This window comes from Homo sapiens, chromosome 16, assembly GCF_000001405.40.
Source record: "Homo sapiens chromosome 16, GRCh38.p14 Primary Assembly".
Classification (NCBI taxonomy): Eukaryota; Metazoa; Chordata; class Mammalia; order Primates; family Hominidae; genus Homo; species Homo sapiens.
In genome coordinates this window covers 28553350-28578529 of record NC_000016.10, presented here as the reverse complement: position 1 = coordinate 28578529, position 25180 = coordinate 28553350, and the positions used below count along the sequence as shown (strand labels likewise).

The 25180-nt window shown below is 47.1% G+C and overlaps 1 protein-coding gene across 3 annotated transcripts in view, besides 2 other annotated features; it reads right to left on the bottom strand.

Moving 5' to 3' along the window:
- Positions 1-24610, bottom strand: part of SGF29 (SAGA complex associated factor 29) — a 37871-nt gene extending 13261 nt beyond the window's left edge. For all 3 annotated transcript variants that reach the window (XR_001751821.2, XM_017022894.2, NM_138414.3), the window contains exon 1: positions 24433-24610. The gene's annotated coding sequence lies outside the window, so the exon portion shown is untranslated. The remainder of the gene's footprint in view (positions 1-24432) is intronic.
- Positions 24182-24301: a silencer, noted in NCBI's record as "silent region_7310". NCBI's record gives its function as "represses an Ori minimal core promoter by ATAC-STARR-seq in GM12878 lymphoblastoid cells {active_cell/tissue: GM12878}" and the evidence as "EXISTENCE:reporter gene assay evidence [ECO:0000049][PMID:35858748]".
- Positions 24322-24641: an enhancer, noted in NCBI's record as "active region_10642". NCBI's record gives its function as "activates an Ori minimal core promoter by ATAC-STARR-seq in GM12878 lymphoblastoid cells {active_cell/tissue: GM12878}" and the evidence as "EXISTENCE:reporter gene assay evidence [ECO:0000049][PMID:35858748]".

The following is a 25180-nucleotide window of genomic DNA, read 5'->3' as shown; positions in this document are numbered from 1 at the left end:
AACATACAAACTAGGAATAGAGGGTAACCTCCTCAACCTGATGAAGGGCATCTATGAAAAACCCACAACGAACATCAGACTTAAAGGCGAAAGATTAAAAGCTTTCCCCTAAGTCAGGAACAAGATGAGCATGGGCCCTTGTCATTTCTAGTCAACATTGTTCTGGAGGCTCTCGCCAGGGCAATGAGGCAATAAGATGAAATAAAAGGCATCCACATTGGAAAGGAAGAAGTACAACTATTTCTATTTGCAGATGACATGACCTTGTATATAGAAAACCCTAAGGAATCCATTAAACAACTATTAGGACTAAGACAAGGTTAGAACTCATAGCAAAGTTGCAGGATACGAGATCAATAAACAAAACTCAATTGTGGCCAGGCCCCAGAGGCTCACGCCTGTAATCCCAGCACTTTGGGAGGCTGAGGCGGGAGGATCACTTGCAGCCAGGGGTCCAGACGAGCCTAGGCCACCAGACGAGCCTGAGCCCCACTTCTACTTTATAAATTTTTTAACTTTAAAAAAAGAAAGCTACAGTAATCAAGATGTTGTAAGCAAAGACATCTAGTTCAATGGAATAGAACTGAGAAACCAGAAATGGTCGACTAATTTTCAACAAGGGTGTCAAGACAAATTAGTGGGGAAAGAATAATCTTTTCAACAAATGGTACTGGGACAACTGAATATCCACATGTAAAAGAATGAATCTGGTTCCCTATCTCAGCCCATATACAAAAATGATCTGAATAGACAGTTCTCCAAAGAAGACATATAAATGATCACCAAGCACATGACAAGATGCTCCGTATCATTAGCCATTGGGAAATGCAAGTCAAAACTACTGAAGACACCACTTCACACCTACAATAAAAAAGAGACAAGAGTTGGGAAGGAGGTAGAGAAACTACACGAATGCATAAAGTGTGATATTATCCATACAGTGGAATATTACTTGACAGTAAAAAGAAATGAAGTACTGAGACACGCTATGACATGGATGAACCTTGAAAACATTATGCTAAGTGAAAGAAGCTGCAATCACAGAAGACCACATAATTGTGTTTCCATTTACGTGAAATATCCAGAATAGCCGAATCCATAGAAAGCTGGGTGGGGAAGGGTTGGGAGAGAAAGGACAGCGACTATTAATGAGTATGGGTTTTTTTGTTTTTTTTTTTTGGCCAGGTGTTGAAAATGTTCTAAAATTGTGCTGATGGTTGCACAACTCTGAATATACTAAAAACCAATGAATTGCACACTTTAAATACATGGTACATGGCCACCCCACCCCCAGGCAAATATTAATTTACTTTCTGTCTCTTTAGATTTATGTAGTCTGCACTTTTTTTTTTCTTTTTTAATGAGACAGAGTCTCGCTGTGTCACCGAGGCTGGAGTGCAATGGCACGATGTTGGCTCACTGCAACCTCCGCCTCCCGGGTTCAAGTGTTTCTCCTGCCTCCCAAGTAGCTGGGACTATAGGCGCCCACCACCACGCCCGGCTAATTTCTGTATTCTTAGTAGAGACGGGGTTTCGACATGTTAGCCAGGCCGGTCTCGAATGTCTGACCTTGGGTGATACGCCTGACCTCGGGTGATCCACCTGCCTCAGCCTCCCAAAGTGCTGGGATTACAGGCGTGAGCCACCATGCCAGGCCTGTGCTTTTATTGCTGAATAACTCCATTGTTTTGCTATATCATATTTTACATGTCAGTTCATGAACTGATGGACATTGGGTTACGTCTATTTTTTTGGCTATTATGAATAATGCTGCTATGAGCGTTGTGTACAGGTTTTTGTGTGGGCACGTTTTCTTTGTTTTTCTTTTTTGGGACAGATTCTAGCCTTGTTGCCCAACTTGGAGTGCAGTGGTGTGATCTCGGCTCACTGCAATCTCTGCCTCTCTCGTTCAAGCAATTCTCCTGCCTCAGCCTCCCAAGTAGCTGGGATTACAGGCACCCATCACCACGCTGGCTACTTTTTGTATTTTTAGTAGAGATGGGGTTTCACCACGTTGGCCAGGCTGGTCTCAAACTCCTGACCTTAGGTGATCCACCTGCCTTGACCTCCCAAAGTGCTGGGATTACAGGTGTGAGCCACTGCGCCCGGCCCTTCTTTTTTAATTTTAATTTTAGGTTTTGGGGATACATGTGAAGGTTTGTTGCATAGGTAAATATGTGTCATGGGGGTCTGTTGTACAGATAATTTCATCACCCAGGTATTATGCCCAGTACCCGATGGTTATCTTTCCCGCTTCTCCCTCCTCCTACCCTCCCCGCCCAGTGTCTGTTGTTTCCTTCTTTGTATTCATGACATGTTTTCATTTCTGGGTACATATCTATGAGAATTAATAATGTGTTTTTTTTAACGTATTTACACTATGTTTATCTTAATAAGTGTATTAAACATAAACTCTGTTTAACCTTCTGAGGAGCTGCATGCTGTTTCCAACTGGGTGACCATTTTACATTCCCACCTGCAATGTGCATTCCCACTCTGCATTTGCGCCAACACATGCTATTGTCTCTCTCTGTCATTTTTATTTTTGGCAGAGGCAGGGTCACACTATGTTGCCCAGGCTGGTGTCGAATTCCTGAGCTCAACCAATCCTCCTGCCTTGGCCTCCCAAAATGCTGGGATTACACGTGTGAGCCACCATGCCTGGCCTCTCTCTTTTTGATTACAGCCATCCTAGTGAGTCTGAAGTAGAGTCTCATTGTGGTTTTGATTTGTGTGTCCCTAACGGTTAATGGCATTGAGTATCTTTTCATATGCTGTTGGCCATCTGTATATATTACCATTTTAAAGTTTGGTTATTTGTCTTTTTTGTTTGCTTGTTTGTTTTGAGACGGAGTCTCACTCTGCCACCCAAGCTGGAGTGCAGTGACTCAATCTCAGCTCACTGCAACCTCTGCCTCCCGGCTTCAAGCAATTTTCCTGCCTCAGCCTCCTGAGTAGCTGGGATTACAAGGCACGCACCACAAAGCCCAGCTAATTTTTGTATTTCTTTTAGTAGAGACAGGGTTTCACCATGTTGACCAGGCTGGTCTCAAACTCTCAACCTCAAGTGATCCACCCGCCTTGGCCTCCCAAAGTGCTGGGCTTATAGGTGTGAGCCACCGTGTCCAGCCAGTTGTCTTGAGTTGTGTCCTTGGAAGCACATGTTTTTAATTTTTATGAAGACCAATTTCTTTTTCTTTTAGCTGCTTGTGATATTGATCTGTGTTGTCCCACATGTACGACACTGTTTTTACCACCACAGCTTTACACAATGCATTGTCATATAGAGAAGAACATATCCCCTTAGAAACATTTAGAGACCTAGGAACAGAAGCTACATCTGTGTCTCAGGTGGTGGTGAAGCCAGATGGTGGATCCTGGTGCCAGTACCCCCAGGGCTTGTATACCATAGGGAAAGGGTGGTTCAGAAGGGATGCACTGGACAACTGAAGTATGATAACATCAAGATGGTGTGACCCCATGGCAGGATTTATGGTAAGTATGTACTCTTACACAAGGAACAATAGACAAACTGGAAATCTTGGAGTCCTTTCCAGAACTGGAATTAATCAGAAGTGAACACGGTGAATTAGAATACAGGATGAAGTTGCTTTAGTCTCCCTAGTTGCATTAGTTAAAACCACACAAAAGAATAAAAGTGGAGTTTAGATCACAGATTGGAAGTGGATAAATCTGAGCATGATCAGCATGCAGGCTGTTGCTAAAGTCTTGGGAACTGATGAGGCTAGAGACTATCTGCTAAGTGAGGAAAAAGGAAAGAACCCCAGTGAGCCATAACAAAGAAAGTGAAGGTGTGGACAGAAGATGCAAGCTCAGTGGCCAGATCAGGGAAGGTGTGGCTTGGCATAGAAAGGGTTATTCTCTCCTGCTAAAGCAGGAATCCTGGCTGAAACTGTTATAGGGAGTTGGACAGGCAGGAGCAGGGCAGGAGAGGGCTCTCCCCCACCCACTAGGTGCCAGGGAGAGGCCATTTCCTGACGGTCCACACTTGATGCACTGAAGTGTTAATTGAATGCAGACACCAAGGAGACGCACCTTCCTGAGCATGCACATTAAGAGACCAAATGGCAGAGCATGGCCTCCCAGGGCACATCACCAGAACAGTGAAGAAAGCCTCAGATGGGCATCCGTACAACTTCCTACACACTGTGTATGTGCCCACCTCCCAAGGGTAAGGAGCACACTGTGCATGCGGGCAGCTCGCCGTGAGGGAAGAATCATGGGAAAAGGGCCAGCCTTGGTCCTAGAATGTCCTAGGATCAAGGTTAAACACCGCACTGGACCTCAGCACCCACGTGGGTCTCCTTCAAGTGTACTTCTCCTTTCTTTCCTGTTCCAAAGCTTCTTAATGAACTTCCACTCCTGCTCTGAAACTTGCCTCGGTCTTTTCCTGCCTTGTGCCCAAGTCGAATTCTTAACAGGCAAGAAGTGAGATTGCTGCAAACCCGTACAGATTTGCTGCTGGTAACTCAGATACCTTCCACCCGTAACAAAACCAATGGCCCGCCTTGCACATGCCCGCACCTGAGCCCTATTAACAGCCCCACCACTGGACAGGGGGTTTTACTTTACACAGCACTGTCACAAACAGCGAGAGGTGCTGCAACCACGTGGCCAAGTCATCTGGTTAGCCTTCCCTTAGCACACTTCAAACCTCCTCTCTCCTCAATATCCTTGATACTGCCCTCAGACCCAGGCCTGGGTCCTATTAGCTGATATCTGAGGTTCCTACTTCACTCGGAAGGGAAGCCAGAGACTTTATGCCCACCATCAAAACTACAAGCTCTGTATAGCAATGCCTGTCACCTCTGCCTTCACCCTAAAGAGGGAAAAACAGTCTTCATTTGTGTTCTGAACTCCATCTCCCCTCCGACTGTCAGCGAATCCTTTCTCCTCTACCAGTGAACAAGCATGATTGAGGAGAGTTCATCCTGAAAAAACACAAAAGAGCTTCCAAACCCCTTTAGAGGCCCCCACCTCTGTTCCTCTTCACGGCAAAACTTCTTCCCTAAATTGTGCAGGGATCCGGTGCTGCTTCCTTGTCCCCACTTCACTTTCCAACCCACTTCTCTAGCTCTGTCCTCATCAGTCTCTCATCAAGAGAGTCAACAGCCCCTGCAGGGGAAGCGTGAGGGCCCTCTCTGCTGCTTCCGATGTGGCCTACTGATCTTGACATGATGCTACTCCCTTCTCCTCTGGCTTCAGGGCCTCCCTCCTGGCAGTTCGCCGGCCACCCACCTCCAGCTCCTCCTCTGGGCTGGAGCCTGGCTATCTCTTACACCCCCCCAGGTCCTCACCCCCACTTCCCAGCTGTGTAGTGCCATCTCCCAATCTGTACATCCGTCAAAAGAAAGTCACAGAAGGGATGATAAACAGCACCAAATGCCACAGAAGAGGACTCAGAGGGGTCTCCCAAAGCTGAGGAAGTCACTGAGGACCTTGGGGAAAACATTTTCCGTGGAAGAGACAGAAGCCAACACACAGGAGGGGGAGGCAAATGCAGGAAGCAAATGTAGGTTACTCTGTCTGGGAGTACAGCTGGGAGGCCAGCGAGCAAGAAGGGGTATGGGGGGTGCTGAATGGAGGAAAGTGACACGGAGGAATGTGAACACGTGGCTGGGGGGAGTTTCATGCTGAGAAGCCAGGGACAGAAGAGGGGGCTGTGTGAGAGGAGGCAGGCGCAGCGAGAGACAGGCTCTAGCACTGGATCATACCCAGCGACACCTCCCCGGCTCAGCTGACATTCCTTCTGGCCTGTTCCCTCTACACTGTCTCAGACACACGATCTTGCTGCCTGCCCACTCCTACCTGCAAAGCCCTTTCCCTTCTGGCTCAAGGCTGCGCTTGCCTGACCAGTCCTAAAGAAGCACACTTTTCTCTTGCTTGATTCTTCCTAGAACTGACATGGACTCTGCAACACGCCTTTAGAAACTGGCCTTCTACCGGGCGCAGTGGCTCACGCCTGTAATACCAGCACTTTGGGAAGCCGAGGCAGGCGGATTACCTGAGGTCAGGAGTTTGAGACCAGCCTGGCCAACATGGTGAAACCCTGTATCTACTGAAAATACAAAAGTTAGCCAGGCGTGGTGGCCGGTGCCTGTAATCCCAGCTACTCGGAGGCTGAGGCAGGAGAGCTGCTTGAACCCAGCAGGCGGATGTTGCAGTGAGCCGAGATCGTGCCACTGCACTCCAGCCTGGGCAACAAGAGCTCCGTCTCAAGAAAAATACAAAAGGGCCGGGCGCAGTGGCTCACGCCTGTAATCCCAGCACTTAGGGAGGCTGAGGCAGGTGGATCACAAGGTCAGGAGATTGAGACAATCCTGGCTAACACAGTGAAACCCCATCTCCACTAAAAATACTAAAAATTAGCCGGGCGTGGTGGTGGGTGCCTGTGGTCCCAGCTACTCGGGAGGCTGAGGCAGAATGGCGTGAACCCGGGAGGCAGAGCTTGCAGTGAGCCGAGATTGTGCCACTGCACTCCAGTCCGGGCAACAGTGCGAGACTCCGTCTCAAAAAATAAAAATAAAAATAAAAAAAGAAGAAACTGGCCTTCTAGCCAGCTGCTATTGGTGTATCTTTTCTTCCCCAACAGACTAGAAGCTCTCAGGCAAGAACGGAAATCTCTGCTTTCATCAATCAATCACCACTCATTAGTAGCGTCAGGGACTTAGCAGGCACTTTTCTAATTTTCACTACTTCACACCCCAGCTCTCTCCTTCCCTGACCCCCATCTCCACAGTTAGGTCCACTTTGGATTTCCTTACATTGACTCTTCCAAACTTTTTTTGAAAGCGTAGGCTTTCCTTGGCTTCTGCAAGCTACCGCGTCAACTATGAACCACATGGTACTGACTCCCAAATCGATCCCCAGCCCAGAGGGCTTCCCAAAGATTCAGAATCTTTTTTTTTTTTTTTTTTAAGGCGGAGTCTAGTTCTGTCGCCAGGCTGGAGTGCAGTGGCGTGATCTTGGCTCACTGAAACTTCCACCTCCCTGGTTCAAGCGATTCTCCTGCCTCAACCTCCCAAGTAGCTGGGATTACAGGTGTCTGCCACCACGCCCAGCTAATTTTGTATTTTTAGTAGAGACGGGGTTTTGCTTTGTTGGCCAGGCTGGTCTCGAACTCCTGACCTCAGGTGATCCACCTGCCTCGGCTTCCCAATGTGCTGAGATTACAGGCGTGAGCCACCATGCCTGGCCAACAACAGAAATTTATTGCTCACAGTTCTGAAGGCCGGAAAGTACAAGATCCAGGCCCCAGTAGATTCGGCATCGCTCTCCGCTTCAAAGATGGTGCCTTCTCACTGCATTCTCAACATGGCAGAAGGGGCAACACAAGTCCCTCAGGCCTCTTTCATAAGGGCGCTAACCCCATTCTTGAGAGTGGAATCCTCACAGCCTAATCACTTCCCAAAGGCCCCACCATGTTGGGGATCAAGTTTCAACATATGAATTTTAGGGGAACACAAACACTCAGACCACAGCATTTGGCTCCTGAACCCCCAAAAGTCATGTCCTTTTTACTTGCAAAATACATTCAGTCCACCCCAATGGCCCCAAATAGAAACTCATTCTAGCATCAACTCAAAAGTCTAAAGTCCAGAGTCTCATCTATCATCTAAATCAGATATGGGTGGCTGGGTGTGGTGTATCATGCCTGTAATCCCACACTCTGGGAAACCAAGGTGGGCGAATCACTTGAGGTCAGGAGTTCAAGACCAGCCTGGCCAACATGGTGAAACCCTGTCTCTACTAAAAATACAAAAATTAGCTGGGCATGATGGCAGGCACCTGTAATTCAGCTACTCAGGAAGCTGAGGCAGGAGAATCACTTAAACCTGGGAGGCAGAGGTTGCAGTGAGCCGAGATCCCACCAGTGCACTCCAGCCTGGGTGACAGAGTGAGGCTCACTCTCTCGCTAAATAAATAAATAAATAAATAAATAAATAAATAAATAAATAAATAAAATTTAAAAAAATCAATCAATCAATCAGGTATGGGTGAGACTCAAAGTACAATTCATCCTGGGGCAAATTCCCCACCATCTGTGAGCCTGTGAAATCAAACGTGTTATGTGCTTGTAAAATACAACGGTGGGACAGGCATAGGACAGACATTCTAAAAGAGAGAAACAACAAAGAAGAAAGGGGTAATAGGTCCCAGGTAAGTCCAAAACCCAACAGAGCAAACCCCATTCAATCTCAAGGTTTCTGAACAACCTTCTTCAACTCTATGTCCTCCTACCTTCTGGACACACTGGCAGGGACATGTTGCTGGGCTCTGGGCAGCCCTGCCTGTACAGGTTTGCTGGGCACAGCCCATGCAACAGCCCTCACTTGTTGGAGTTGCATGCCTGTGGCTCTCCCAGGCTGGAGTTGCACACTGGTGGCTCTACCAGTCTGGGGTCTCAGAGGCAACCCTACCCCCATAGCTCTGCTAGGCAATGCCCTAATGGGGACTTTCTGCAGGGGCCTTACCCTGTGTCAGTTCTCTGCCTGGGCCCAAGGCTCTTCAGGGCATCCTTTACAATCTAGGTGGGGGTAGCCATGCCCCTACAGCTTGTGTATTCTGTGCACCAGCAAAGACAGCGCCATGTGGATGCTGCCAAACTACCTCGGGCTGCCAAGGAGCACTGCCCCAGAATGCTAGGAACAGAGCCTTGAAATGGTTCTGCCCCCAACACCCTGGGCCTTCTGGGCCTGTGATGGGGGTGACAGCCCCCACATGCCTTCGGGGTCATCCTTCCATTGTCTTGATTAGTACCTGGCTTCCACATCCATACTAGTCTCCTTATCAAAGGATGGCTTGGCCACACCTTTCATATTCTCTCCAAATACATTTATTCTTTTTTTTTCTTTTTGAGACAGGCTCTCGCTCTGTCACCCAGGCTGGAGTGCACTGGTGCAATTTCAGCTCACTGCAGCCTCAATCTCCCAGGTTCAAGTGATCCTCCCACCTCAGCCTCTTGAGAAGCTGGGACCACAGGCACATGCCACCATGCCCGGCTAATTTTTTGTAGAGACAGGGTTGCACCATGTTGCCCAGGCTGGTCTTGAACTCCTGAGCTCAAGTGATCCACCTGCCTCAACCTCCTAAAGTGCTAGGATTACAGGCGTAAGCCATTGTGCCCAGCCTACTTTTTCATTCTTTACAACGTGGCCATGCTGAGAATCTTCCAAATGCTTAAGTTCTGCTTTCCTTTTGGCTTTAAATTCTGTATTTAGTTTGTTTCTCTCTTCTCACATTTTACTATAAGCCGTCAAGAGAAGCCATGCCACCCCCTCACCACTTTGTTCAGTGACTTCATCCACCAAATATTCTATTTCATCACTCTTAAGTTCTCCCACAAAACACTAGGACATAAGAAAGAAAAGAAGCTTTTATTTTTATTTCTTTCTTTCTTTTACTTTATTTATTTATTTTGAGACAGAGTTTCGCTCTTGTTGCCCAGGCTGGAGTGTAATGGTGTGATCTCGGCTCACTGCAAACTTCGCCTCCCAGGTTCAAGCGATTCTCCTGCCTCAGCCTCCCAAGTAGCTGGGATTACAGGCACACGCCACCACGCCCGTCTAATTTTGTATTTTTTTTTTTTCTTTTTTTGAGATGGAGTCTTACTCTGTCATCAGGCTGGAGTGCAGTGGCACAATCTCAGCTCACCACAACCTCTGCCTCCCGGGTTCAAGCGATTCTCCTGCCTCAGCCTCCCAAGTAGCTGAGATTGCAGGCACAAACCACCATGCCCCGCTAATTTTTGTATTTTTAGTACAGACAGGGTTTCACCATGTTGGCCAGGATGGTCTCGATCTCTTGACCTCGTGATCCATCCCCCTCGGCCTCCCAAAGTGCTGGCATTACAGGCGTGAGCCACTGCTCCTGGCCAAGAAACCTTTAATCTGAAGAATGTGAGCCCCCCCCAACCACCCCTTAATTATCAAGCCCAGAGAAGCAATGAGATGCAACAGCAGTCATGTCTCACTCCACACTTAAGCTAAATAATCAATCACCTCATGAAGCCACTTGCTATGTGAGCTCTAAACTAACTCATGCAAAGTAGCTATACAATGTCATACACTGGCATTTTCTGTAATTTCTCATATCCTATAGTTCAACAATGTATAGCCAGTCACTAATTCATGTTATCTCTGTAAATCAACGAGAATTCCTGTCAAACAACTTTTTTTTTTTTTTTTTTTTTTTTGAGATGGAGTTTTGCTCTTGCTGCCCAGGCTAGAGTGCAATGGCATGATCTTGGCTCACTGCAACCTCCACCTCCCGGATTCAAGCAATTCTCCTACGTCAGCCTCCTGAGCAGCTGGGATTATAGGCGCCGACCACCATGCCTGGCTAATTTTTGTATTTTTAGTAGAGATGGGGTTTCACCATGTTGGTCAGCCTGGTCTCAAACTCCTGATCTCAGGTGATCCACCCACCTCAGCCTCCCAAAGTGCTGGGGTTACAGGCGTGAGTCAACACACCTGGCCCCTGTCAAAAAACTTTGTGTGAGCCCACTCCTCATTCCCTTTTGCCTTTAAAAATCTGCTTGTAACAAAGGCCAAACAGAGCACTCCCCAAGGCAACTTACAAGTGTGTCCCAGGCTGCAGTCCTCAACCTTGGCCCAAATAAACTCTACATTAATTTTGCCTAGGCTTGTTCCTTTAGGTCAACAGGCACAAACCCAAATCAGCCAAGTTCTTTGCCACTTTATAACAAAGATCACCTTTCCCCCAGTTTCCACTAACATGTTCCTCATTTCCATCTGAGATCTCATCAGAATGGCCTTTACCATCCATATTTCCACCAACATTCTGTTCATGCCCTCTTAGGGCATCTCTAAGAAGACTGAGGCTTTCTCTACAGCTCTCCTCCTGTGCCCTTACCACACCTGTGCTTAATGATTTGTTCATGACAATGTAAACCTTTTCTAGTATGAACGTCAAAACTCAGTCTCTACCCACTACCCAGTTCCAAAGCTGCTTCCATATCTTCAGGTATTTGTTATAGCAGCACCCCACTTCTGGTACCAATTTGTCTTAATCCATTTGGCTGCTTTAACAAAATATTTTAGACTAGGGAATGTATAAACAACAGAAATGCATTGCTCTAGAGGCTAGGAAGTCCATGATCATGGTGCCAGCAGATTCGGCATCTGGTGAGGGCTTGCTCTGTGCTTCAAAGATGGCACCTTCAAAACTATGAGCAATATGTTTCTGTTGTTTACAAATATCCAGCCTAAGGTATTTTGTTACAGCAACCCAAATGAACTAAGATACTCACTCACTGGTTGAACATCTCTATCCAGAAAAGACCCCAAATTACTATGCTCAACATGGATATTTCTTACACACTTCTACTTCTCTATGGCTAGAAATTTTCCATAATAAAAATAATATTTAAAAAATCATACTGAAGTTAAAGCCTTAAAAAAATAATATTTTTAAAAGTCAAGAAAATGAAAAGAAAATCAGTGTGTCCAGAAAATATTCTAAAATTGGATTATGGTAATGATTTTATAATTGAATGTACTTTAAAAGCCAATTAACTGGTGGGGTACGGTGGCTCACCCCTGTAATTGCAGCAGTTTGGGAGGCCAAGGCAGATAGATCACCTGAGGTCAGGAGTTTGAGACCAGCCTGGCCAACATGGTGAAACCTGGTCTCTACTAAAAATACAAAAAAAGTATCTGGGTGTGGTGGTGCACGCCTGTAATCCCAGCTACTTGGGAGGCTGAGATGGGGTCTCACTCTGTTGCCCAGGCTAGTATGCAGTGGTGCAATCTTGGCTCACTGCAACCTCTGCTTCCCAGGCTCAAGCAATTCTCTCTCCAGGCTCAGCCTCCTGAGTAGCTGGGACTACAGGTGTGTACCACCACGCCCAGGTAATTTTTGTAGAGATGAGGTTTCACCATGTTGCCCAGGCTGGTCTTGAACTCCTGAGCCCAAAGTGATTTGCCCACCTTGGCTCTGAAAAGTGTTGGGATTACAGATGTGAGCCGCCACGCCCAGCCCCACATAATTTCTTATCTCCATGCCTGCCCTATGTTCACACTGTTCCCTCTATCTGGGACATCCAGATCACTCCTAATCCTCTCAGTTAATTACTTAATCTTTAAGATCTAGCTTAGCACCAAGTCACCTCCTCCACTGATCACAAACTGAAACTCCCAGTCTCCTAGGCAGGGTTAAGTTGCCTTTCTGTTCCCCTAAGACCCTCTTTCTTTTTCTTTTTCTTTTTTTTTTTGAGACAGAGTCTTGATCTGTTGCCCAGGCTGGAGTGCAGTGGCGCGATCTTGGCTCACTGCAAGCTCTGCCTCCCGGGTTCATGCCATTCTCCCACCTCAGCCTCCTGAGTAGCTGGGACTACAGGCGCCCGCCACCACGCCTGGCTAATTTTTTTGTATTTTTAGTAGAGACGGGGTTTCACCGTGTTAGCCAGGATGGTCTCGATCTCCTAACCTCGTGATCTGCCCACCTCAGCCTCCCAAAGTGCTGGGATTACAGGCGTGAGCCACCGTGCCCGGCCCCCAAGACCCTCTTTCTAGCACTGTACCTACCAAATCACATTCAAATCTTCTTTGTATATATTTGTCTCCTCCCCTAGTTTGTCCAGTCTTTGAGGATAGGGATCACTTTACTCTCCATACCTAGCAGAGAGCCTGGCACACTGGGTTCTCAATAAATGCTGACTGAATCACTATCCTTTCCTTCACCATAAAACTACCATACCTGGCTGGGCGTGGTGGCTCACGTCTGTAATCCCAGCACTTTGGGAGGCCGAGGCGGGTGGATCACGAGGTCAGGAGTTTGAGACCAACATAGTGAAACCCCATCTCTACTAAAAATACAAAAATTAGCCAGGTGTGGTGGCGGGTGCCTGTAGTCCCAGCTACTCTAGAGGCTGAGGCAGGAGAACTGCATGAACCCAGGAGGAGGAGGTTACAGTGAGCCAAAATCGCGCCATTGCACTCCAGCCTGGGTGACAGAGCGAGACTCCGTCTCAAAATAAAAAACAAAAAACTACCATACCTACCATCGTCACTTCTCCCATTCACGCCTCAGCCCACCCTCAGCTCCCAGGGAGCTCCTGGCAGCTCCTGGACCTTTCTGCTGCACTGCACACCTGCTTACATACTGCACCTCAAAGCTCCACTCTCTAGATTTCCAGGTGTGATGGTTAATCCTAGGTAACAACTGGTCTGGATTGAGGGATGCCTAGACGGCTGGTGAAGCGCTGTTCCTGGGTGTGTCTGTGAGGGTGTTGCCAGAAGAGGCTGACATTTGTCAGTGGACTAGGAGAGGAAGACCCATCCTCCATATGGGTGGGCACCGTCCAGTTGGCTGCCAGCATGGCTGGCACAAAGCAGGCGGAAGAAGGGGGACCAGCAGCTTGCTGAGTCCGCGTGCTGGCTCTGTTCTGTGTCACGCCGGACACTTGGCCTCCTCTCCCCTTGCCCTTGGACATCAGACTCCAGGTTCTTTGGCCTTTAGACTCTGAGACTTACACCTCTCAGGGGCTCTCAGGCCTTAGGCCTCAGACTGACAGCTGCACTGCTGGCTTCCCTGGTTTTAAGGCTGGCAGACTTGGACTGAATTATGCTACCAGCTTCTCTCTTTCCTCAGCTTGCTGATGGCCTATCATGGGATTTCACCTTGTAATCGTGAGGCAATTCTCCCTAATAAACTCATATATATGTGTGTGTGTGTGTTTGTGTGTGTGTGTGTGTGTGTATATATATATATACATATATATACATATATACATATATATACATATATACATATATATGTATATATATACATATATATGTATATATATACATATATATACACATATATATACATATATATGCATATATATACGTATATATACACATATATACGTATATATATGCATATATGTATATATATACACATATATGTGTGTATATATATACGTGTATATATATACGTATATATATATATACGTATATATATACATATATATATACACACACATATATATATACACACACAGAGTTCTGTCCCTCTGGAGAACGCTAACACACCAGGCCTCCACGCTCCCCAGTGTCTCTAACCACCATTCTGGTTTGTTGCCGCCTCCTTCTCTAACCCGGTGGAAGATCGCTCCGGGATCCTCTTCTCATTCTCTAAGCACTCCCTAAGCATTCTCATCAGCTTCAGGCTAAACTTCCAAATCAGTGTCACCAACCCTGACCTCTCAAGGCTCCCAATTCAGACTTCCAACTGCCCCCTGAATAATCCCACTGAGATGCACCCGCAGATGCTCACACTTCCAGTCCCGCACTGCTCTGCCTTCTAGATGCTGGTTAACAGCATTGCTGCACAGCTGGCTTCCCAAGCTGGGAATGCAGCCCCCTCTCTCCCACCACACTTGTCATTGTTTTAGTTTAGGTCCTCATCACCTGTCTCACTGTCTCATGTGGTTGTTCATAAAGTCTGTTTCTCTTGGCCAGGCACAGTGGCTTAAGCCTCTAATCCCAGCACTTTGGGAGGCCGAGGCGGGCAGATCACCTGAGGTCAGGAGTTCAAGACCAGCCTGGCCAACATGGCAAAACCCTGTCTCTACTAAAAATACAAAAATTAGCCAGGTGTGGTGGTGTGCGCCTGTAGTCCCAGCTACTCAGGAACACCTGCAGTCCCAGCTACTCAGGAGGCTGAGGCAGGAGAATCGCTTGAACCCAGGAGGTGGAGGTTGCAGTGAGCCGAGATTACGCCACTGCACTCCAGCCTGGGTGACAGAGCAAGACTCTGTCTCAAAAAAAAAAAAAAAAAAAAAAAGTCTGTTTCTCTAGAAAAACACACACACACACAAAACTGAGTAAACAATATATGCACGTAGTAAAAAAATTCAGATTATTTTTGAAATACAACGAAATCTCCTATCGCTACAGGCAACTAGTTGTTTCTTGGGTATTCCTTTAAAGATATCCCATGTACATATAACAAGAAAAAATGGTGTGTATCTCATAAAAGCTTTTGCTGACAAAGACACACAGATAGACACACAACACACAGAGGTTGAAACTTTCAGGGAGAGAGCTGACCACGTGGTCTGGAAGATCACTGTGCCTACTGGGTAGTGCCTAGCCTGGCAGAACCACCTCATTTTGTAATTTCACAATAAGCTCTTGCTATCCCTGGATCCCATCAGCCACGAACTTTCAAAGTGGACCATCTAACTGTGCCCACTGCCTTGATGTCCCTTGCCTCTGGCACGTATCTGGCGAATGGCAACACACTCTTACCACGCAAACATCCTCTCTTCTTTGTGGCCTCCTTGGCTACCAACAGTTATTACAGAACCTCTGCCTCCCCAGAGCACTCTGGTCACCCCTGTTTCCAATTATCTCCCTTTTTCCCCTAATTAAGGTGAAAGAAAAATGCAACATTAAAGGATGTTTTAAAGCAAATCCCAACAACCTCAAGTGATTTTCATTCTGTATCCACCTTCTGTAAATGTTATATAACCACAATCAGAGCACACACACCCTTTTAAGACTGCTTTCTATGTGTGGAAGAGTCTTCTACTCAGACTTCAAGCCCCTTAAAAGTAGAAGAACTAAGTCTTTTTTTTTTTTTTTTTTTTTTTTGAGACAGGGTCTCACTCTGTCACCCAAGCTGGAGTGCAGTGGCCCAATCTCGGCTCCCTGTAGCCTGCACCTCCCAGGCTCAAGTGATCCTCCCACCTCAGCCTCCCAAGTAGCTGAGACTATAGGCATGTACCATCACACCCAGCTAATTTTTAAATATTTTTGTAGAGATGAGGTCTTGCCTTGTTGCCCAGGATGATCTCAAACTCCTGGGCGCAGGCAATCCTCCCGCCTCAGCCTCCTTAAAGTGCTGGGATGACAGGCATGAGTCACCATGAGCGGCCAAGAACTGTCTTAATGGATTGTCTTTGCATCTTGGTACCCAAAATAAAGCCTGAAATACAGGAGGGCTTGGATCCCCATTTGTCAGACCTTACTTGGGAAAACACTGAAGAGGCGAGCAGCATGCCCAGCATCAATACAAGTATAATTTCCCACAAAGAAATGAAGTACGCCACCTGCCATACAGCCATCAGGGAAAGGAACTGGACCTTCATGTTCCAGGAATAGTCCAAGGAGGGGGAAGGGAGAGAACAACTGTAAAGTTCTCATAAAGCCTCACACTCACCCTGGATGAATTATTTAACCTTTCTGGGTCTCAATAAAATTAAAACAAGAGCACCTACTTGATGATCAACTATCTAAGAAAGGTCCTAGGCAGTGGCCGGCCCAGAGCATGCACTTAGTGAACGCTAGTGGCCCTTCTCATCTGGAGGCCAGGGGTCTGCTGTTACACTGAGCAAAAGAGCCAATCGCACAAGCAAAAGAAATGCTGACGCTTGCCAAACCTAGGAATAACCCCACGATGATGGCCTGGCCAAAGACCACACCATTTAAGGGCTCTCGTTTGAGCTTTGCCTACTGGGTAGTGGCTTGTCTGAGAGAACAAGCTCTTCCTATGATTTTACATCAAAGTGCTGCTATCTCTGGATCTGGTCAGTCATAAGTCTAAACTTCCCCAGGAAACATGTTCTAAGTAGAAGCAAAGGTTTCTGTGACCTTCTGAGAACAAATGCCAAGCCTGCTGGTGCAAAGCAAGTGGGAATGAGGCCCTGGGGTTGGAACCATAATGAATTGGAAGGCCAGATGAGGGGACACTGCACTTCCAGGCCAAGTGGCTGGTTTTATCAGAGTCCGAGGGTGCCAGCTAATCTTATCACAATTCTATCATGTAAACAAAACTGTCCCAAACCCTGAGAGGCTCAGCAATTCCAGCAAGGTTTCAAGCATTCTTAGGAATGCTGAGGTAACGCCCAGTACCCTAAACTTTTTGACTCCTAGCATGCTCGTGTTCCCACTGACTTAGAAGGCCACATCTTTTCTTTCTTTCTTTCCCCTGCACCTTTTGTGTTTTTTTGTTTTTTGTTTTTAGAGACGGAGTCTTGCTCTGTTGCCCAGGCTGGAGTGCAGTGGTGCGATCTTGGCTCACTGCAATCTCCACCTCCAAGTTTCAAGCAATTCTCCTGCATCAGCCTCCCAGGTAGCTGGGATTGCAGGTGCCAGCTACCGCACCCAGCTAATTTTTGTATTTTTAGTAGAGACAGGGTTTAACCATGTTGGCCAGGCTGGTCTCCAACTCTTGACCTCAGGTGATCTGCCTGCCTCAGCCTCCCAAAAAGTACTGGGATTACAGGCGTGAGCCACTGTGCCTGTCCAGCTAATTTTTAAACTTTTTGTAGAGATGGGGTCTCACTATGTTGCCCAGGCTGGTCTTTAACTCCTGGGCTCAGGCGATCCTCCCGACTCAGCCTCCCAAATTGTTGGGATTATAGGTGTGAGCCACCACACCTGGCCTGACGAAGTTTTAATAACTGCTTTAAATTTTTAAAAAAATTTATTTTAACTAATTATTTTGATTCTCTTTTAGAATTCTTGTCAGTTGATACCAACATCTGGGTCCTCTTGGGGTTGATCTTCGTTGATTGCCTTTTTTTTTTTTTTTTGAGACAGAGTCTTGCTCTGTCACCCAGGCTGGAGTGCAGTGGTGCGATCTCAGCTCACTGCAAGCTCCGCCTCCCAGGTTCACGCCATTCTCCTGCCTCAGCCTCCCAAGTAGCTGGGACTACAGGCACCCGCCACCACGCCCAGCTAATTTTTTGTATTTTTAGCAGAGACGGGGTTTCACCATGTTAGCCAGGATGGTCTCGATCTGCTGACCTCGTGATCCGCCTGCCTTGGCCTCCCAAAGTGCTGGGATTACCGGCGTGAGCCACTGCGCCGGGCCCGTTCATTGCCTTTTTTTGTAAACACAGATCATATTTTCCTGTTTTGTAAAAATATATTTTAAAATTTTCGTTCTTTTTTTTTTTTTTCTTGAGACAGAGTCTCGCTCTGTTGCCCAGGCTGGAGTGCAATGGTGTAACCTCGGCTCACTGCAACCTCTTCCTCCCAGGTTGAAGCAATTCTCCTGCCTCAGCTTCCTGAGTAGCTGGGATTACAGGTGTGCGCCACCACGTCCAGCTAATTTTAGTATTTTTAGTAGAGATGGGGTTTCACCATGTTGGTCAGGCTGGTCTCGAACTCCTGACCTCGTGATCCACCCACCTCAGCCTCCCAAAGTGCTGGGATTACAGGCGTGAGCCACTGTGCCGGGCCCATTCATTGCCTTTTTTTGTGAACACAGATCATATTTTCCTGTTTTGTAAAAATATATTTTAAAATTTTCGTGGTTTTTTTTTTTGAGTCAGAGTCTTGCTCTGTTGCCCAGGCTGGAGTGGTGGCACGATCTCAGCTCAACCTCCACTTCCTGGGTTCAAACAATTCTTGTGCCTTAGCCTCCTGAGCCTCCTGTGTACCACCACGCCTAGCTAATTTTTTTGTACTTTTAGTAGAGAAGGGGTTCTGCTATGTTGGCCAGGCTGGTCTCAAACTCCTGTCCTCAAGTGATCTGCCTGCCTCAGCCTCCCAAAGTGCTGTGCTGGGTTTACAGGCATAAGACACCATGCCCAGGCCATTTCTTGTGTCTAAGAATTTTGGATTATATCCTGGACATTGTAGATGATGTGTTGTAGACTCTGGATTCTGTTATGTTCTTGAGAGTTTGGTGTTTTGTTTCTGTTAACATGCAGTTAATCACAGCTGAACTCAAACTCCAAATCTAGCTTCCCTGAGGCAAGCATCAGCTGAAATCTGTACTGATCTTTTAAACTTGGCTAAGTTGCTTGGAATATGCCCCATGTTTGTCTAGTTCAGAGGTTTAGGCAGACTTTTTAAAATAACAGCTTAATGGGCCGGGTGCGGTGGCTCACACCTGTAATCCCAGCACTTTTGGAGGCCAAGGTGGGCAGATCACTTGAGGCCAGGAATTCGAGACCAGCCTGGCCAACACTGTCTCTACTAAAAAAGTACAAAGATTAGCTGGGTGTGGTGGCACACACCTGTAATCCCAGCTACTTGAGAAGCTGAGGCACAAGAATCGCTTGAATCCGGGAGGCGGAGGTTAAAGTGAGCCAAAATCGCACCACTGCACTCCAGTCTGGGTGACAGAGTGAGATTCCGTCTCAAAACAACAACAACAACAAAAACAGCTTAATGAAGATAATTCGCATGCCATACAATTCTCTATCTCTCTATCTACTTATTTGAGACAGGGTCTCACTCTCATTGCCCAGGCTGGAGTGAAGTGGTGTAATTACAGCTCACTGCAGCCTTGACTTCTTTGGCTCAGTCAATCCTCCTGCCCCAGCCTCCCAAGTGGCTGGGACTACAGGTGTGCACCACCACGCCCAGCTAATTTTATAATTTTCTGTTGAGATGAGGTCTCATCATATTGCTCAGGCTGGTCTCAAACTACTGGGCTCAAGCAATCTTCCTGCTTCAGCCTCCCAAAATGTGCTGGGATTAAAAATGTGAGCCACCGCACCCACCCCAATTCACTTTTTTAAAGTGTGCAATTCAGTGTTATGTTAGTCACAAGGTTGTGCAAATATCACCACTATCTAATTTTAGAACATTTTCACCAACTCTCCTTAAAACCTTATACTCATTAGCAGTCATTCCCCACCCCCTTCTCCTCTCAGTCACTGGCAGCCATTATTCTAATTCATATTTGTAGATTTGCCTATTCTAGACATTTCATATAAATAGAATTGTACTGTGACCTTATGTGACTTGCTTCTTTCACTTAGCATGTTTCCAAAGGTCATCAATGTCACAGCATGTATCAGTAACTTCATTCCTTTTTATGGTTAAATAACATTCCATTCTATGGATAGATGTCGTTTTTAATCCACTCATCTGTTGAAGAATTTGTGAAGAATTTGGAATCCCTTCTCTGGGGCTATCTTCTTTCCATCATGGGCTTTTTAATGCCTCATGACAAGGCATTTAACAAAACCAATAAACAGGCGGGTCGCAGTGGCTCATGCCTGTAATCCCAACACCTTGGGAGGCCAAGTACAGAGGATTGCTTGAGCCCAGGAGTTTGAGACCAGACTTGTCAACATAGCGAGGCTCTATCTCTACCAAAAATAAAAAGTACCCAGGTGTGCAGCCAGGCGTGGTGGCTCACACCTGTAATCCCAGCACTTTGGAAGGCCAAGGCGGGTGGATCATGAGGTCAAGAGGTCAAGACCAGCCTGGCCAACATGGTGAAACCCCATCTCTACTAAAAATACAAAAAAAAAAAAAAATTAGCTGGGCATGGTGGTGCATGCCTGTAGTCCCAGCTACTTGGGAGGCTGAGGCAGGAGAATCACTTGAACCCGGGAGGTGGAGGTCGCAGTGAGTCGAGACTGCACCACTGCACTCCAGCCTGGCGACACAGCGAGACTCCGTTTCAAAAAAAAAAAAAAGTACCCAGGTGTGGTGGTGGACTCCTGTAGTCCCAGCTTTCAGGAGGCTGAGGCAGGAGGATCTCTTGAGGCCTGGAGTTCAAGACCAGCCTGGGAAACACAGCAAGACCCCGTCTCTGAAAAAAAAAAAAAAAAAAAAAAAAAACAGAGAAAGAAAAACAGAAAATACTGGTGACATAATTTAGGCTTCTGGATAGAGTCCCATCTGAAACTGATTTACTCCAGGACTCTTCAGCTACAGTCTGTGAGGAAAAAACAAAACTTTCTCCTCTGCTGTCACAATATAGGATAATCAACACATAAGATTTCCGTGGCCAAATGTGTGGAGATTTCTCCCCAACACCAATCAATCCATTGAGTCTGCAGTGGATACACGCTGGATGTCCTCTAATTCAGTTTATTTCCAACACTATCCACCCAGACAGAGTGTCAAACCCCACAGGTTGAGGGCTCAGTCCCACGAGCATGTCCCCCCAATTCTCAATGCCAGTCACAAGCCCCCAGTTGCTTTATTTGTGCTTCTGACCAACTGACTATAAATCAGGGTTTCCATGACTCCCTCCTTGGGTTCCATTAATTTGCAGGAGCAGCTCTCAGCACTCAGGGAAACACTTAGGTTTACTGGCTTATTATAAAGGATGTCACAATGGATACAGATGAAGGAAGAGGTGCACAGGGCAAAGCATGTGGGAAGGAGCGAAGAGCTTCCATACCCACCCTGGGCACGCCACCCTCCAGGAAGCTCCAAACTGGGATACAAACCAGATATATATTTTACAATATCACAGAGTCAACAAACACCCCTTTCAGCTTAGGCTAGTCAGAGTAGCTTTTTGTTATCTGCAACTGAGTAGCTTGACTAATAAGAACTTTCATTAAGCACGGTCTGAAGAGATAGCCAATTCTGAGGGACAAAGGCTGCAGGGTAGAAGCATATGTTAACCACTAATACCCAGCCTAAAATTGCTGGCCCTTTTACTATAATAGCATAAAAGGCCTCAAATAAACAAATCCAAATATCCTACACTTAAGCCACTCTAAGATTAATCCCACAGGGCTTAAAACAGTAAGAGCTTTGTTCTGGGTCAAAGGGAAAGAGGAACCTAATACCCCACACTCACATCCCACACTCTCAACCCAGTCACTAGCAATGAGAATCTGCAAACTGGGTGCAGTGGCTCATGACCGTAATCCCAGCATTTTGGGAGGCCGAAATGGGAGGATCACTTGAAGTCAGGAGTTCAGGACCATCCTGGGCAACACACGGAGGCCCTGTCTCTACAAAAACAAAATAAAATAATTAGCTGGGCAGGGTGGTGCACATGTGTAGTCCTAGCTACTCAGGAGGCTATGGCAGGAGGATCACTTGAGCCCAGGAATTTGGGAATAATGAGCTATAATGGCACCACTAGGCTCCAGCCTGGGTGACAGAGTAAGACCTTGTTTCTAAAAAAAACATAAGTAGGTTGGGCGCAATGGCTCACACCTGTAATCCCAGCACTTTGGGAGGCCAAGGCCGGCAGATCAACTAAGATCAGGAGTTCAAGACCAGCCTGGCCAACATGGTGAAACCCTGTCTCTACTAAAAATACAAAATTAATCGGGTGTGGTGGCACATGCCTGTAATCACAGCTACTTGGAAGGCTGAGGCAGGAGAATCGCTTGAAACCGGAAGGCGGAGGTTGCAGTGAGCCATGATTGCGCCATTGCAATCCAGCCTGGGCAACAAAGAGTGAAACTCCGTCTCAAAACAAACAAACAAACAAACAAAAAATTAGCCAGGCATGGTGGTGCATGCTTGTAATCCCAGCTACTCAGGAGGCTGAGGCAGGAGAATCACTTGAACCCGGGAGGCAGAGGTTGCAGTGAGTTGACATTGCACCACTATACTCCGGCCTGGGTGACAGAGCGAGACTCCATCTCAAAAATAAATAAATAAATAAATAGAATCTATATTCATCAATTGGTTAAAGAGACATTAAGAAGACAATTTTTTTCCTTCATGCCTCTGTATTGCAACTTATGCCAGTGTTTCTCATTTAAACCTTACAGCAATCCTATAAAATAGATAACAGAATAGTAAGTATAGTGAAGAAACTGAAATTCAGATAGGTTATGCTAGGTAACTCAGGAAAAATAGGTAGTTGAGCTGGGGCTGCAAGGCTGCAAGTTCTAAAACCTATGCTCTTCCTCTGAATTCCAAGTTGTGTCACGACTTCAGCATATTCAATAGTAAAAGAGATCACAAAAGTGGAAGCTGCCAACCCACCATTAGGCTATTATGACAACACTCAAAGTATCACCAGTAAAATGATGATTGAGGCAACTGAAAAACAAAGCTAGGGAAATGTGATGGTTAACTTTATGTGTCAAACTGATTGGGCTAGGGGATTCCCAGATAGCTGGTGAAACACTTTAGAGTGTGTCTGTGAGTTTCCTGAGGGTTTGCTTTCCTGGGCTTCCAGCTTGCAGATGGCAAATCTCGGGACTTCTCAGCCTCTATAATAGTGTCACCCAATCCATCACAATAAATCTCTTTTAAAATAGCTATACAGTTGACCCTCAAACAATGCAGGTTTTAATTGTGCAGGTCCACTTATATGTGGATTTTCTTCCACCTCTAGAACTCTTTTTTGAGACAGGGTCTTGCTCTGTCACCCAGGCTAGAGTGCAGTGGCACGATCTTGGCTCACTGCAGCATCCACCTCCTGGGTTTAAGTGATTATTGTGCCTCAGCCTCCCAAGTAGCTGGGATTACAGGCGTGCACCACCACGCCCGGCTAATTTTTTAATTTTTTTTTTTTTTTTTAGAAGAGACTGGATTTCACCACGTTGCTCGGGCTGGTCTCAAACCCCTGAGCTCAGGCAGTCTGCCCACCTCGGCCTCCCAAAGTGCTAGGATTACACGCATGAGCCACCGCGCCTGGCCAGTATTTACATTTAAAATGTGAAACTGGGATTGCGGTGGCTCATGCCTGTAATTCCAGCATTTGGGGAGGCTTTGGTTAGGAGGACTGCTTAAGCCCAAGAGTTTGAGGCTGCAGTGAGCTGTAATAACACCACTGTTCTCCAGTCTGAGCAACAGAGAACGTGTCTCTAATAAAAACAAAAATGTGAGATGATGCCTAGGTTAGAATCAGCAGAGGAGAAGCCAGAGAGAGCAGAGGCAAAGGAAGAGAACGTTCAGCAAGCCAAATGAAAACAGTGTTTCAAGGAGGGGCAGTGATCCACAGCATCAAATGCTGAACAGGACTGAGACCTAACTTAACAATGCATTTGGCCACCTAGAGATCACTGGTGGCTTTGACAAGAAGCCTTTTTAGTGGAGTGGTGGAGACCAAAGCCTGACTAGAGGCTCAAGGGTTCAAGACTTGGAGGAGAAAAGGCATTAGTGAGGGTAGACTAAGGCCTTTGGCTGCAAACCGGAGCCGAGGAGGAGGTAACTGGAGGATAGCGAGGGTGAAGGAGGCTGTTTTGTTGTTCTTAAGACGGGCATTTTTTGGCCGGGCGCGGGGGCTCACGCCTATACTCCCCACACTTTGGGAGGCCGAGGCGGGAGGTTGAGCCTCCTGGGCAAACGACGAGCTGTTAGTGTATCTTGTTAAGAACTATATATATATACAAAATTTTTGTGCAAATCATAAAATAAGTGCTGGAGTTCGGGGCCCATCCTCTGTCCGCATCTTCGTGACCCGGGTCCGAGTACCCCACCTGGAAGCTGCGTCCGTGCCGAGCCCAGCGTGTCGCTGTTTCCCACCCTCGCCGGGGATGGAAGCACGCAAGCGCAGACCTCGAGCGGCCGGGCGCAGGGCCCGCCCTCCCCGAGCCCCGGCCCCGCCCTCCTCTCCCGCCCCCACCCCCACGAGCCCCGCCCCCCTCCCGCCCAGAGCGCGTGCGCACCGCCCCTAGAGCGCCGCCTCAGGGAGGTCGGGAGCCGCGGCGCGGAGGGAGGACTCAGCCCTTCGCTCCCGCGTTTCGCCGGAGGTCTCAGGCCACGGCCCGTCGCCACCTACCGAGTCCGGGACAAAACAAGCTCGTCGGGCTGGAAACTGCGACGAGGGGAGCAGGCGCGTTCCTCGAACCCTTTTTCGGAGTCTGCGGATGATCACAGACCTGCGTTCGAAGATTGGCGGCACGTCGAGAACCGCACACGCTTTTTTTTCCTTTTATGAGCGTAGTCGCGCGCGGAGGACCTTGCACGCATGCGTAGTCGTTCCTCTGTGACGTGACCCGCTGCCCCGTGGGAAATGTAGTTTTCACTTGGCACACCGCTCCGGCTCTTGGCGGAACCCTAATTTAACCAACCAAAGTGCTTGTGCGTTTTCAGCGTTTTCTCCCATTTCCCCAGACTCTATTTAAAACAAAATGCAATAAATAAATAAATAAATAAAACTTGAAAGCGAACAGATTGCTGCTTGCTGGAGGTGGGTGGGCGCAGGGGTAATATGAAAACTGTACTTTCTGCTCAATTTTGTTGTGAACCTAAAAATGCCCTAAAAAATAAAAGTCTGTTGTTAAAAAATTAATTAAAAACAGGCCGGGCGCGGTGGCTCACGCCTGTAATCCCAACACTGGGACGCTAAGGCGGGCGGATCACCTGAGTTCAGGAGTTTGAAACCAACCCGGCCAACATGGTGAAACCCCGTCTCTACTAAAAAATACAAAAATCAGCCGGGCGTGGTGGCGGGTGCCTGTAATCCCAGGTACTGGGGAGGCTGAGGCTGGAGAATCGCTTGAATTCAGGAGGCGGAGGTTGTAGTG